Source organism: Homo sapiens, chromosome 1 (assembly GCF_000001405.40).
Source record: "Homo sapiens chromosome 1, GRCh38.p14 Primary Assembly".
Taxonomy (NCBI): Eukaryota; Metazoa; Chordata; class Mammalia; order Primates; family Hominidae; genus Homo; species Homo sapiens.
In genome coordinates, this window is record NC_000001.11 from 51946971 (window position 1) to 51961519 (window position 14549).

A 14549-nucleotide genomic window follows, 5' to 3' on the forward strand; every position below is an offset into this window, starting at 1 on the left:
CGTCATTTCTCTTAATTGTTATATCAGCTTGAAGGAGGACAAGTTTGAGTCCCCAGTTGATATATGAATTAACTGAGGCTCATGGAAGTTAAGTAAATTGCTAGGGTCACAAACAATAAGGAGGCAGACAGAATCCAAATTCTGGCCAGGCACGGTGGCTCATGCCAGTAATCCCAGCACTTTGGGAGGCCGAGGCAGACGGATCATTTGAGCTCAGGAATTCAAGACCAGCCTGGGCAATATGGTGAAACCTTGTCTCTTCAAAAAATACAAAAATTAGCTGGGCATGGTGGCATGCTCCTGTAGTCCCAGCTAGTTGGGAGGCTAATGTGGGAGGATCACTTGAGGCCAGGAGGTGGAGGTTGCAGTGAGCTGAGATTGCACACTGCACATCAGCCTGGGTGACAGAGTGGGACCTTGCCTCAAAAAAAAAAAAAAATTCAAATTCTGTCTTGACCAAAGCCTGTGCATTTTCAACACAGCCTAAAGTCCAACCTGATTTGTATTCTTGATTCTCTTTAGCCCCCAAGATCCTCTGCAGCCTCCCAATACAGGAAGTCCTCTAACCATGTCTAAGGCTTCCAGGGACCAACAATCTCCCCTCCACCAGAGCATAAGATTGGAAATCACCTAGAAAGCTTAAATGAAATCACATGTGATCCAACACACACTCTTCATTTCTTCGTAAAGTTTTCCACACGGTCGTCACACATGCCACATTCATTTCTGCTCTATATCTCTGTTCATGCTACTCTCTGCCACAATACACCCTCTCCCAGCTTCTCTGCTTGTCTTGACCATCAGATTTTTGGATTTTAGGGTTAAAAGGAAACCTTAGAAGTCATTCAATCCATCCTCTCACTTAAAATAGGAATTCCTTCCACAACATCCTTGTATTGAGTGCTTCCAACTTGGACACCCACCCCCTCACAAAGCAGCCATTCCACTGATGGACAGTTCTGATTATTAGAACATTTCTTCCTTTCGTTGAGCTGAAATCTACATACAGTAATTTCTACCCACTGATTTAATACTGTTCTCTGGAGACACAAAGAATAAATCTAATTCTTTACTCATGTGGCAGCCCTCCAAATATTCAAATCCTTACACTTCCTTAACTCTTACAGTTTACAATGTTTTTTTCTTATTATCTCAGTTTATTCCCTGAGAAACCCTGTGAGAGAAGGACCAATATCTCTGTTCTATAAAAACGGCAACTTAGGCTTGAAGAGGTGAATGACAGGAAATCATGAAAACGGGCTTAAATAAAACCAGGTCTTCTGTCTCCCAACAGACCATCCTCTTTCACAAGGCTACTTCACTGATTTAAATCTCTTGTCACAGGGGCCTTGACTATTAGCAGAACAGCCAGAGAAGAGTGAAGGGAACTTGAAACCAGGTGAAGGAAGATGTTTAGCCATTGAGGGGATAGTACTGCTATCTTCAACTATTTAAAGTGCCTAAAGGCACTTCTCTTTTCCTTTCTTTCAAATCTTCACTTGGTACTGATTCTGTGCCAAGCATTGGTTAGGTCCTGAAGACAAACAGATGAATACAAGCCGGTACTTGCTTAAAGTCTACAGTGTCTGTTACCATAGGAGGTAAACATGTATTGGGTGGGGGTTCTGAAGCGGAAGAGGCCCATTCCCAGAGAGCCTTCCTAGTGCCCTTCCCTGAGGTAATGCTCTCTCTTCAGAGCTCAGCTCAGCAAAGAAGCTGACCATCCTGGAAAAGTCACATGCTCCAATTATATGCTTTCCTGGCACCATGAGCTTCTCCTTTGTACCACTCACTCCCACTGTAATTTTGTATTTATTTGTGTAATTATTTGATTAAGGTCTGTCTCCCTTGCCAAACTACCAGTGCCACAAGAACAGGATGTCTGGTTTTGCTTACTATTGCATCTCCAGTGCATGCCACAGCACCTGGAACACAGGGCCAGAGTGTTCCAATAAATATTTGTTGAAAGGATAAATGTATGGGGGTGTCTGTAACAATTTGGATAGAGCACACAGAATGTCAGATGGTCCTTTGGAAAAATCCAAACCTTCCCATCTCCGTCTGCTGGCCTCCCAAAGCCTACAAGATGGAGTCCAAGCTTCTCAGTAGATAAAGACCCTTCAGGATCTAGCTCAGGCTTCCCTGCTAGTTCCTTTCCTGTCATTCCTTAACTGAAACAGTGAGCTCCAGTTTTTGCCTTAACTACTTGTGGTTTCCCAAACACGCAGCTCCTTCGCACCCCTGGGCCTTTGCATATGCTGATCTTTGCCTGGAATGCCCTTGCGTTCTATAATTCACAAACATATTCAAAGGTCACATCCTCTGAAGTTTTCCCTAACTTTCTTTCCCCACTAATTCCTCCCCTGCCCTTTAAATGTTTGCCATTACACCGGCACAGGATTTTTCTCAGTCACTTTGCCAGGCTCACAGAAGGAGACACCCCATCAACTCTGGCCCTCAGGGCTGCAACTGAGGGCAAGCTTCCAGCACAAATCCCGTGGCCACTGCAACCGCACCTTCGGCCCCTGGAGGGAGGGGATGTGTGAGTGAGCAAGTGCAGGGTCCAGCCAGCCATTCCGAGTGCTGACATGAGAGCAGGCTTTGTGAGGGGCTTGTGGCTTGACCAGGCATGTCACCCCAAGGGGAAGGTGGCAGTGCCCAGGCAGGGGTGCCTGCAACCCCAAAGCTCCAGAGGGGTGTTACAGTGTGCTAATTAGCTCTTGCAGCCCCATCAGCAGCAGCCCAACAGACAGTGGCATGCTAACAGCTCAGTCAGCTCCTTGCTCCACTCTAGCCCACAGCTCCGGGACTGGCTTGGCCCCACCACTGCTTCTGTCGCACGGGGTGGCTGCCTTCCACCAGTGGAGGGCAGGGGGCCACAGTGCCACAGCCTTTTGGGTACTTGCATTCAGAGGGTCCTAAGCTCTTGTCCCACATCCAAGAAGAATGAGGTCACATTGACAACTGTAGGGTGATGAGGGTGGAGAATTTTATTGAGTGACGAAACAGCTCTCAGTAGAGAGGGATCAGGAATGTGGGGTCTCTCACCCAAAGTCAAGTCATCTCTCCCAGTGTGGCTGAGTCTGGGGTATTTTTAGGCACAGGACAGGTGAGGGGTGGGCCATGAGTACTACTGGAAAAGGCAACATTTAATTGGTTAAAAAGCATTATTCAAAAAGAACCAACCAGGAAAGGGTGGGCAAACAGGAACACAAGTTCTCACTCTGGGTCATGGGTTTCATCCAGAACCAGCAGCAGTCCAGGCTGTTTTTGGCTTGAAGGTGGGGTTTCATCAGGGACCTGTCCCTATCTGCCTAGGCATTTGTCTGCCTCCTGCTGCTATCAATATCACTGTACACATCACATTTGTTATAGTTACCAGTTTGTTTTTCTGTCTCCTCTTTCAGGCTATGAGCACCCTAAAATCAAGTCATACTTAGCTAACTATTAGGCCCTCAACTATAGCACCTGCCACATACTAGGAACTTAAAAGAATGCTAGCAAAAGAAACTCAAGGGCTGACTGTGCTGAAAAGGGAAAGCTCATTTAGAACTTCAGGATTGGTTGGAATAGGGTCTGTGAGCTCATACATATCACCTCCTTTTTCTGGGCACTTTCCATGTCATAGACAAAGGGAGGCCCAGAGCAGTGACAACTTGAGAGGTCACACAAAAAGTGAGAGGTTATCTCTGGGGTCTTCATCCCTGGGTCGTGCCCTGTTGCCTGTGCATTCCTCCAGCCAGACTCCTCTCTCTTCCCGTCTTCAATCCAGGCAAGATTAGTGGATGGGGATGATGAGCACCAGGGAGGCAGGTAATGAGAACTTTCAAGCTAGCTTTCCCCCATGCGCTACCCTCCGACCCACAGCTGCTCAGCTCCAAGTGCTTTGTTTTTCTGCAGCAGCTGAGAGCTGAGACATTATGTCCCATGGGAATGGAAGGAAACTGGAAGGGGAGAGCTCTTTAGGAAGGAAAGAGCAGTTCAATAGAGCTTGGGAGACACAGAGGACTGAAAGTGGTAAAAATGGTCCTTTGGAGCTAGCTTAATATTATAGCTATCCGTCCTCAGCCATATAGACCACATTATAGAGCACCCTACAGTTTACAAGTACTTTTATTACATCATCTTACAGGAGCCTGACAATGATTCTGTGATGCAGACTTTTTTTTTTTTTTTTAACAATTTCAACTTTTGTTTTAGGTTCAGGAGGTAAATGTATAGGTTTGTTACATGGGTATACTGCATGATGCTGAGGTTTGGGGTATGACTGATCCCATTACCCAGGTAATGAGCATAGTACCCAATGGGCAGTTTTGCAGCCCTTGTCCCCAATGCAGACATTTTAGAACCAGAAGAAATCAATCTTAAAGTTCATCCAGTCTGACTCCTTTCTTTTACAGATAGAAAAACTGAGACCTAGACACTCAGTGACTTTCCCAAGGCCACATAGCTCTTTATTTTTAGGCTCAACCAGGACTCAAATTCAAATATTCTGACTCTACATCCAGTGCTCTTTCTAGCCCACCATGTGTCATTGTCACTACTGATTTACAGGTAATAAAAATGGAGTCAGCCAGGTGCAGTCACTCATGCCTGTAATCCCAGCTGAGGTGGGAGAATTGCTTGAGCCCTGGAGTTGGAGACCAGCCTGGGCAACAAAGTGAGACTGTGTTTCTACAAAAAATCAAAAAATTAGCTGGGCATGGTGGCCTACACCTGTGGTCCCTCAGCTACTCAGGAGCCTGAGATGGAAGAATCACTTGAGCCTAGGAGATGGGGGCTGCAGTGAGCCATAGACATGCCACTGCACTCCAGCCTGGGTGACAGAGCAAGACAATGTCTCAAAAAAATAAATAAGTAAATTGGAGTCCAAGAACACTTAGGTAGCAACTGGTTAGGTCCTTGAGGGCAGAGGGTAGAAAAGAAGTCACTGGAATCCAGGATTAAGGATTCTAAAGCGCCTCCCTGCCCTCTGTAATCCTATCTAATCTTTGAGGTCCAGGTCAAAGTGCACCTTTTTTGGGAAGTCCTTCAGGACCCTGTCTAAATTCATCACCATTGCTTCTGGCCTTCCACAGAATGTACTTGGACCTTTATTTTAGTGACAGCAGAGCACAGGCCATTAAAGACAGAAAGCCCTTATGAGAGTAATTAATTCCACATATATTCACTGATCTTAGCCTGTGCCATGTGTGATCCCTATCCTCAGAACACTCACAGTCTAGTGGGAAAGTTAGACACATGTGAATCCTATGAGAGGTGTACATACCCATTTCACAGATGGGAAACAGGACCCCAGAGAGATGAATGCCCTGTATTCTTATTTTTGGCATTGGTCTCTCACACAAAGCCCTCAAATACTCTAAACTCAAAAACACTCATGGATATAGCTATTGATTTCCATGATTTCCACCAAGATAAAGGCACTACTTTTTACTTCAAGTGGATTAGCTGAAGGTCATAGGGCTTCCTTGCATTGTTCCTCAATGTATGTGGCATATCTTAGGTATTCAATAAATATTTTTAATGAATAGATCATAGCACCTATATCAGGAATTTGCTTCCACTCTCACCTATATCTCTCATTTAGACTGGAGGAGGGGCTGTGCCTTATTGTTTCTGTACCCTCAGTGTCTAATGCAATACTTGGCACCTGGAAGGTACTCCATAAATACTGAATGAACAAAGGAATGAATAAATGAATAAAGGAATGAACAAAGGAATGAATAAATGAAGAAAAAAGATAAAAATGAAGAAAAATGAAAATAAAAGAAGGATGGGTAATATAACCTTTTTGTTGCCCTAAATTAAAAACATGACATCACCCCCAAACACACCCCTTTTCTGGAAACTCCCTCTTTCCTCAGCTTCTGTGAAGTTTCTCTTCCCCTGTTCTCTCCCTTCAGCTCTGCCGGTTCCTGCTGTGTCTCCTACACTGGCTCCTTATCCTCCCCTGGGCCCTCACTTTCAAGTTTCAGATGGAAATTTCCAACTGTCTGCTGGGCATCTCCACTTAGCCTGAAACCATCCAACATGTATATGGTTGACTATTAATTATGACCTATTTCATTTGTGTCTTCTCCAGCTATTAAGCCCTTATGAGTACCCCACACGCATCTGGGCATATAGCAGTATTCTAAAGATGCCTGCAGAATGAACCATCATTCATAATATCCCAGTGCTTTGGCATGGACAAATTTAGCATCAGAGTTGCCAATCCATTTCCTCATCACTCTTTTTGCCTCCAAATTGACATCAGCACCATTCACAGCATTCTGAGAAGTCTCTCTGGGGAATTTACTTCATATGCCACCTGCTGTACCCTTTATGTGACTCACCCAACTCCCCTTTGAGACAGGAAAATGTGGGGAGAGAAGTGAGGTGGAAGAGAGCCAGGAGGAAAAAAAGAAGCATGAAACATGATTATACTTAATACATCCCCAGATCACAGCAAGCAAAAGGAAATGAACAGAGTCAGGCCTTGTGCTGAGAAATTGCAGGTGATAAAAGTAAGACTCTTGTCAAAAGACAATTCACAAAAACTAATGGTAGGCCAGGCACGGTGGCTTGCTCCTGTAATCCCAGCACTTTGGGAGGCCAAGGCGGGCAGATCATCTGAGTTCAGGAGTTCGAGACCAGCCTGACCAACATACTAACACGTCTCTACTAAAAATACAAAAATTAGCTGAGTGCAGTGGCGCACGCCTGTAGTCCCAGCTTCTTGGGAGGCTGAGGTAGGAGAATCACTTGAAGCTGGGAGGTGGAGGTTGCAGTGAGCCAAGGTCGTGCCACTGCACTCCAGCCTGGATGACACAGCAAGACTCCATCTTAAAAACAAAAAACTAAAAAATACCTAATGGTTAATAAATATACAGATGATTTATTCGATAAATAATCAAAGAAATGCAATTGAAATTATGAGATACTTTTTTAACCTACTGAATTAGCTAAACTAAAATTAAGATAACATTCAGTGTTCACAAAGGTAAAGTAAAATAGGAATTTCACTACCGAGAATCTGTCTAAAGGAAATCATCTGAAACCTAGGAAAAGTTTTACACACAGGGATAATCACTGCAACATTATTGATAACAGCTCCAAATTGGAAAGTAGTTGAATGTCAAACAATGGGGGGAAACTGAGCTTTGAGAGGCCAGAGAATGGGCCTCACTCTTTTACCACTGTTGAGAGTGCCTGACACGTGGTAAGTGCAACAAATATTGCTGGATGAATGAATGAATGGATATGGTTCATCTTTTGTATAAAGTACAATGAACTCATCAAAAACATATAAAGATTTTCTAACAATGTTAGCTACGCTTATGTTATAATGCTATGTTTAATAAAATTGAATATATAATCTGACCTCAACTATGTTAAAAATTCATAGAGAAGAAACTGGAAAGGAACCAACCACCAACCCAAATGTCAGTAACATTTTCTTCTTTATGCTTGGCTGTGATTTCAAAATATGTTTTAAATAAGCATATATTAACTTATACATTTAAGAAAAAAACTAAATCCTTAGTAAGCACTGGCAGTTGCTATTCTTATTATTATTACCAGTCCAGGGAGAAGGAAGTATAGGAAAAGCATGTGAACCAACCATGAGTGGATCACTGTTGTAGCTGGAGGACAGAGTTCATGTACTACTTATTCTCCCTACTCGAGTGTGTGTTTGAAATTTTCCATAATAAAATAGCTTAAAAAAATAGAGAAGCCTGAAACAGCACAGCATCTGGGGAGAAAGCAAGCAGTTCCATTTTCAATGGTTTGTAAAATACCATATTTCATAGATTCTCAGATGTCCACTTTTTCACATTTTAATATCTTTAAAAAAGGATGTATCTTAGAATTGATAGCATCTTAGATTCCTGGAAACATAGTACTTAAAATAGTAGACAGGAGAGGAAGTAGGAAGTGAGGCTGTAGCTAGATCACGGAGGTCTTGAATGCCAGGTCAAGGTGCTTGGATGTCGTCCTGACGAGAACAGAAAGCCACTGAAGGGTTTAGTGTGTCCAACATAGGGCCTATCACCCGGAAGACATTCAGTTAGTGTGTGCTAAATAGTAAGGCCACTGAGGATCAGGTCACTGCTGCTTCTGCCAAAGGCCAGGGGGCGTTGACCTTTATGAGCGAAGTTTGAGGCCTTGCCCTCCCTCTCCTTCTTGTCATCTCATGAGTTCCAGTTCTCTCCCGTTTTGCAGGGCAGAATCATTGGGTTGTATATTAAGGTGATTTTTCTCCCTCTAATCCCCCAATTACTTCTATTTTCCTGAAAACAATAAATATTTCTCCAGAAGCTGAGCCAACACCATAGCCGATGTGAATGCCCACAGCCCTGGGTTCTACAGCACCCTCTGACATGACATTCCAAAGCCAAAACCTTGGCTTGGCACCTGGCCCAGGGACTTACTCTTACTTACTCTTTTTTTTCTTAGACAGAGTCTCCCTCTGTCTCCCAGGCTGGAGTGCAGTGGCGCAATCTTGGCTCACTGCAATCTCTGCCTCCCGGGTTCAAGCGATTCTCCTGCCTGAGCCTCCTGAGTAGCTGCGATTACAGGTATGTGTCACCACACCCAGCTACCCAGCTAATGTTTATGTTTTTAGTAGAGACAGGGTTTTACCATGTTGGCCAGGCTGGTCTCAAACTCCCGACCTCAAGTGATCCGCCAGCCTCAGCCTCCCAGAGTGCTAGAATTACAGGCATAAGCCACTGCGCCTGGCCCCAGGGACCTATTTCTGAACTCATTTCCAAATGGAGACACAAGGAGTTAACATATACAGAGCAGGCAAGAGGAGTTCAGAGACTTAACTAGATAGAGAAATCAGGAGTCCAGGATCCCCATCCTACCCTGGGCTGTTTTCCCTCTGGTCTCATAGCTGCTTTCTTTCAGGAGTTGGCCCAAGTCACCATAGCAGACGAGTCCCCTGAGGATCATTTGCATACAGGTGGCAGAGTGTTCTAAAAATAGGATCAACACTCATCTCCACAAAGCAAATGCCTTGAAATTTATTTACAAGGGACAGGGGACAAACATCTGAGGAGCGAGGAAGAGCCTGTCAGAGGCAGCCTGACAATGAATGGCAAGGGAGCCACACAGCTGTAAGGCTGGGAGGCAGGAGGCCTGGGTATGGTTTAATCCTACCACTAACTTGCTTTGTGGGCTTATGAATACTGTGCACCCTGCGCCTTGGATTCTCCTCTTTAAATAGGGATATTAGACTAGATTACTTTTTTAAGGCCCCTTCTAGCTCTAAGGAGTCAGGATAAATAGTAATAATTGTTATAATCAAATAATAATAATTGTTAACACGAATTGAGTACTTACTAAGTGTCAAGCACTGTGACAAGCACTTTTCATGCACTACTTCATCAGTCTTCATAACCAGCTCTTTGGAGTAAGACAAATAAACTGAGAGGCACAGGGAGGTTAAGTACTTGCCCAGGTTAGCAAATGTCAGAGCTGGGAGTTTAACCCCTAAGTTATACTGCCTGCTAGGATGCTAAACTTATCCCTGGTTTTCTAACCTAACAATTTCACTGCCTTCAGCTCTTGCCACCCCTCTCCATTCTTTTCTCCTCAGGTTCTGACCAACCTGGACAACTCCATAGGCCCCAAACATTGTGTTCCTCTAAGTCTCAGTGCTTTGCTCATGCTGCACCCTCTGCCTGGATCAGCCTTTTCCCCTTCCCTGCCAAGGCAGTCGCTAATTACCATTCCAATTCAGCTCAAATGCTTCCTCCTGTATGACTCGCATTTCCTCCCATACCCACAGGCAGAAATAATGACTGGCTGCCATTTGTTTAGACGGGCTGTGCCAGGCACTGTGCTAATTCTTACAACTTTCTGAGCGAGGTCCCATTTTCATACTTATTTTACAGATAAAGTAATGAGATTCAGAGATTAAACACCTTGCCTGAAGCCATACAGCTGGTAAAAGACCCGAGCCAGAAAGTCAAACTTCACAGCCTTCCTAACTTCTCTTCTATCCTCTCTCCAATGAAACTGTGTATATGAATTGCCAACGTGCTTGTCTTTCCACCAGACTATAAAATCTTCTAGTGGTTTTTATGTAAAGTCTATATAAACTCTTTTCATGGTTTTGTCTGTTTGTTCTTGAGTGATCAAATGAACTGCTGGGAGATAATCTGTAGCAGCACAACTGGTGGAAAACTTAGGCTAGAGTCAGGACCAAACCAGGAGGAAGAAAAAAACGGTGCAGGCCCTCACTCTGTCGATCTTTTCCTGCCACTTTAAATCCCTATGGGAACAAGACAAAAATATATTTTAACAATATTCCCTGCACTTTGGCACCCACTTCTGTCCTTATCACATCCTCCAAGAAGCCTCTTAAAATTACCCTCATTCTCATCCTCCCCCCTTAATTTTAGTGTTCCTTCAGCACTTATGTGTCATTTCATTAAACACTGTAAGCACTTAATGAACAGACAGTGTGAAGGGCAGCAGAAAGAGTATGGATTTTGGGGTCAAGCAAATTCTAGCTTTGCCACTTCTTGGCATGTGACCTTGGACCAGTTGCTGTCTTTGACTTTCTGAGCTGCAGATCTGTTAACTGCAAAACAGGTTTCATAATAATATCCTTTTCTTGGTATTGTTGGGAGGATAAAGTAAGATAAGTGTTGTGACAGTGTGTTGGTAAAGTTCTGTATAAACAGTCGTGTTCATTTAATTTACTGTTTGCCCTCAGTAATCTGCTGCTCTTCCCCCTGGTGTCAACACCCAGAATGGGCCTCAGATTCCTGGTGAGCTAGAGCTGTAGGAAAGTGAGAGGAGGGAGGAGCCCAAGAAAGCAGGGCTAGGAACCACCTGAGCAAACTTCCGCTGGAAGGAAATTAAAGGGCTAATTAAGCCTCCGTTGGTGGTAAATTTCCAAGCCAGCCTTTGGGCTCAATCAGTTGACACGGCAACACACCGGTGGGGGAGGCCGGTATCCTGAGAGGACATATTCTCTCCTCACAAAATGGCACCTCGTGGCAGCCTGAACACAGGGTCCAACCTCAGAATTGCCACCAATTTTCTCTATCTTCCCTTTCTCTTCTCTCTTACCTTCCTTATCTCTTCCTCCCCATGTTCTAGCTGAAGAACCTGAGGGGTTCAGCCAGGCACAGAGGAGGCTGGGATGTCCTGGGATGGCTCTAGTACAGCATTTAATTGTTGACTGAGGTTAGGTGTCACTTTTTATATGCAGAAGTAGGGTCCAGTAGGAAGATCCCAGGCAAGGGAATGAGTCCCAAAAGCCTGCATTCAGGGCCCACTTAGTCCATTTGTCAACTTTAATAAAGTACAACCCTTTACCCTCTGGGCCTCAGTTTCCTCAAGTGTATAATGAGGATGACAAGACCTCCTCTTGTGATCAAATGAGATCTCATATGTATCAGATGATCAGACTGGACTGGTGTCCACAGTGGTGCTGAGAGGAAAGCCGGTAAGAAAGTGGCATACTCGGCCGGGCGCGGTGGCTCATGCCTGTAATCCTAGCACTTTGGGAGGCCGAGGTGGGCAGATCACCTGAGGTCAGGAGTTCGAGACCAGCCTGACCAACATGGAGAAACCCTGTCTCTACTAAAAATACAACATTAGCCGGGCGTGGAGGCGCATGCCTGTAATCCCAGTTACTCGGGAGGCTGAGGCAGGAGAATCACTTGAACCCGGGAGGCGGAGGTTGCGGTGAGCCGAGATTGCGCCATTGCACTCCAGCCTGGGCGACAAGAGCAAAAACTCAGTCTCAAAAAAAAAAAAAAGAAAAGAAAGTGGCCTACTCATTCTAGAGAGGCTAACCCAAGAGGAGCCTCAGACCTCCCAGCCACTGAGGGGCAGAACTGATAGGGGTGGGGGTGGCACAAAACTTGATCTGAGGCCAAGAGAGAGATCAGGCACTGCAAGTGCAGAGAGAAGAGATAGCCTCAACTTTGAGAGGTATACAGCCTTAGCTTGAGCACTCACTTTCATTTTGCCAGTCTTTGTTAAACCCTTACTATTGGCAAGGCCCTGTGCCTGGTGCTGGAGCTGTAGACCCGAGTCAGACCCGGTCCCTGCCCTCAGGGAGCATGCAGTCTGGGAGGAAGACAGGTGAGTTCCAGACACATGCAATACAGCTGGTTAGTATGGAAAGTTAAGGAGGGTCCTTAACTGCCACTGAGTTGCGGGGAGGTGGGTCATCAAAGGTTTCCCAGAAGAGATGATACTTGAACTGAGTCTTCAAAGTCAAATGGGAGTTTGCTGATAGAAAATGGGGGAGGAGGCCAGGTGCAGTGGCTCATGCCTGTAATCTCAGCACTTTAGGAGGCCTCGGCAGGAGGATCACTTGAGCCCAGGAGTTCAAGGCAGCCTGTGCAAAAAACTGAGACCCTGTCTCTATAAAAAAATTAGCCGGGTGTGGTGGCACATACCTAGGGTCCCATCCACTCTGGAGGCTGTGGTGGGAGGACGGCTTGAGCCCAGGAGGTCGAGGCTGCAGTGAGCCATGTTCACACCACTGCACTCCAGCCTGGCTGACAAAGCAAGACCCTATTCCAAAAAAAGGAAGAGAAACAAAAAGGAAATGTGGGTAGAGGGGGAATCTCTAGAGAGGAGGAAACAACCTGGGCAAGGCAAGGAGTGAAAAAGTGCATCCCGACTCCCAGCCCAGAAGAGCCTAAGGAGACACGACAATTCAGATCAGTTGTGTTCTAGATGGGATCCTGGGACAGAAAAGGAGTAGTAGGTAAAATCTAAGGAAAGTGGAATAAACTAGGGATGTTAGCTAATAATAGTATATCGATATTGGTTAATTATAACAAATGTACCATACTAATGTACGATGGTAATAACAGGGAAAACCAGGTGTCGGGTAAATGGGAACTCTCCATACTATCTTTGCAATTCTGTAAATCTGAAACTGTTCTAAAAAATAAAGGTTTTGTTTTTTTAAAACTGCATCCTGTGGTTGGGTTGGGGGTTTAGAGTACACGTGGGTGGTGCATGGACTGCCTGAAGGGTGAAGATGGGGTTGGGGAGGCAGAAAGGGCCAAGAATGTGTTGAGGGGGATGCAGGAGAGCCCCCCTGGATTTTAGGCACTGGAGTGACAGCGATTATGGAGGGCAAGCCTGAGGGCAGGGAGTGCCACCGGGCAGCTGCAGTCCAAGGGGGAGAACAGGAATCTAAGGTAGGAAAGGGCAAAGGAGAGAGCTAGGCTCACAGTCTGCTCTCAATAAATGTTTATGGAACAGAACTGACCAGGGGATGCGTTCAAGAGAAATTGGGGAAATAGAATGGATATTTCTCATGAACAATCAGATGAATATGACAAGAGCAGAGAGGAGTAAAGGATGACCCTTAGTTTTGAGCTGGGGGCAGTAGTGGGGCACTCAAGAGAGGGGGCACTGTATCCCCTGGGACCTGCCCTCCCAGCCATCTGGGCCTCAGCACAGAGCCCCTGCGTCATTAGCACAGAGCTGACAGACTTCACAGAGGAAGGTGAGAAGCACAGGAGCACAGACAGGATAAGAGTTTCCAGCTGTCGCCTGGCAACCCAAGGTGTGGGGCAATGGTGTTGGGCAACGGTGTGGGGGAAGGAGGATTCTGCAGAAGGAAGGGATTATAAATCCTCAGTTGAATGGCCTCCCCCATCCCACCCCTGTCCTTAGCAACACATCAGGCAGGTTCCAAGCAGGCTAGGAGAATCTCCAGCCTTAGATGGCAACTGGACGTCTTCAGGGGCAGAGCACTGCTGCTCTCTCCATCCATTGAAAATGGGAGTAAAAGGGCCACAACTCACAACTAATTTCTCTGTTGATGACTCCGCCTTGTAAGTCCTGTGGCTCGCAATCTTAAAGTGGTGGTAACCCTAAGATCAGTCACAGTAGTACAGCATAATAGAAACCTCATGAGCTAATCCTGGCTCTCCCCTTCACTGTATGACTTTGGGTAAGTTTATTTAGCACCTAATATGTTACAGGCTCCATGCTAGATCCTTTCCCTATATGATCTCATTCAATCTTTACTACAACACTAAGAAGTAGGCATTAATATTCTTCTATTTTACAGCTGAGGAAACAGAGGTTCAGAGACATTACTTATCACACTGCTGGTACCATGTGTTCATTCCACCTACACCACAGCTGAAGTAATTAAGCCCCCAACCACTCCTTTCACCCTATGCCCAGAACATGCAGCAGCTTCTTCAGAGACCACTACATTCAGTGCCAAGTCACTTAATTACATACCTATACACTGGTGTTGCTCAATCTTGGATGCCCATTAGACTCCCCTGTGAAGTTGTAGTGGGACAGAGAGAGAGGAGGGCTGGTAGAAAAGGAGGGGAGCTGGTAACTAAAAGGTGATAGTTTGCAACAGATAACACCTCCGTTTCTGAGAGTGTTTGTTTGGAGGTTCTGATTTTTAGCTGTGACGTTGACTCTCAACCACCTGTGAGGTCCCTGGGGTACCACAGGGCAGTGGAAAGAGTGGGGAAGGCAGTTTGGTGTGAAAAGAACACTCTGGTGGCAAACATCCCTAATTTTGAGTCCCAGATGTGCTATTT

The 14549-nt window shown here is 45.4% G+C and overlaps 1 protein-coding gene across 2 annotated transcripts in view, besides 1 other annotated feature; it reads right to left on the bottom strand.

The window, feature by feature from the left end:
* The window catches only part of RAB3B (RAB3B, member RAS oncogene family), an 82745-nt gene that overhangs the window by 39015 nt on the left and 29181 nt on the right, over positions 1-14549 (bottom strand). The window lies entirely within an intron of this gene.
* Positions 6015-6074: an enhancer, noted in NCBI's record as "active region_1029". NCBI's record gives its function as "activates an Ori minimal core promoter by ATAC-STARR-seq in GM12878 lymphoblastoid cells {active_cell/tissue: GM12878}" and the evidence as "EXISTENCE:reporter gene assay evidence [ECO:0000049][PMID:35858748]".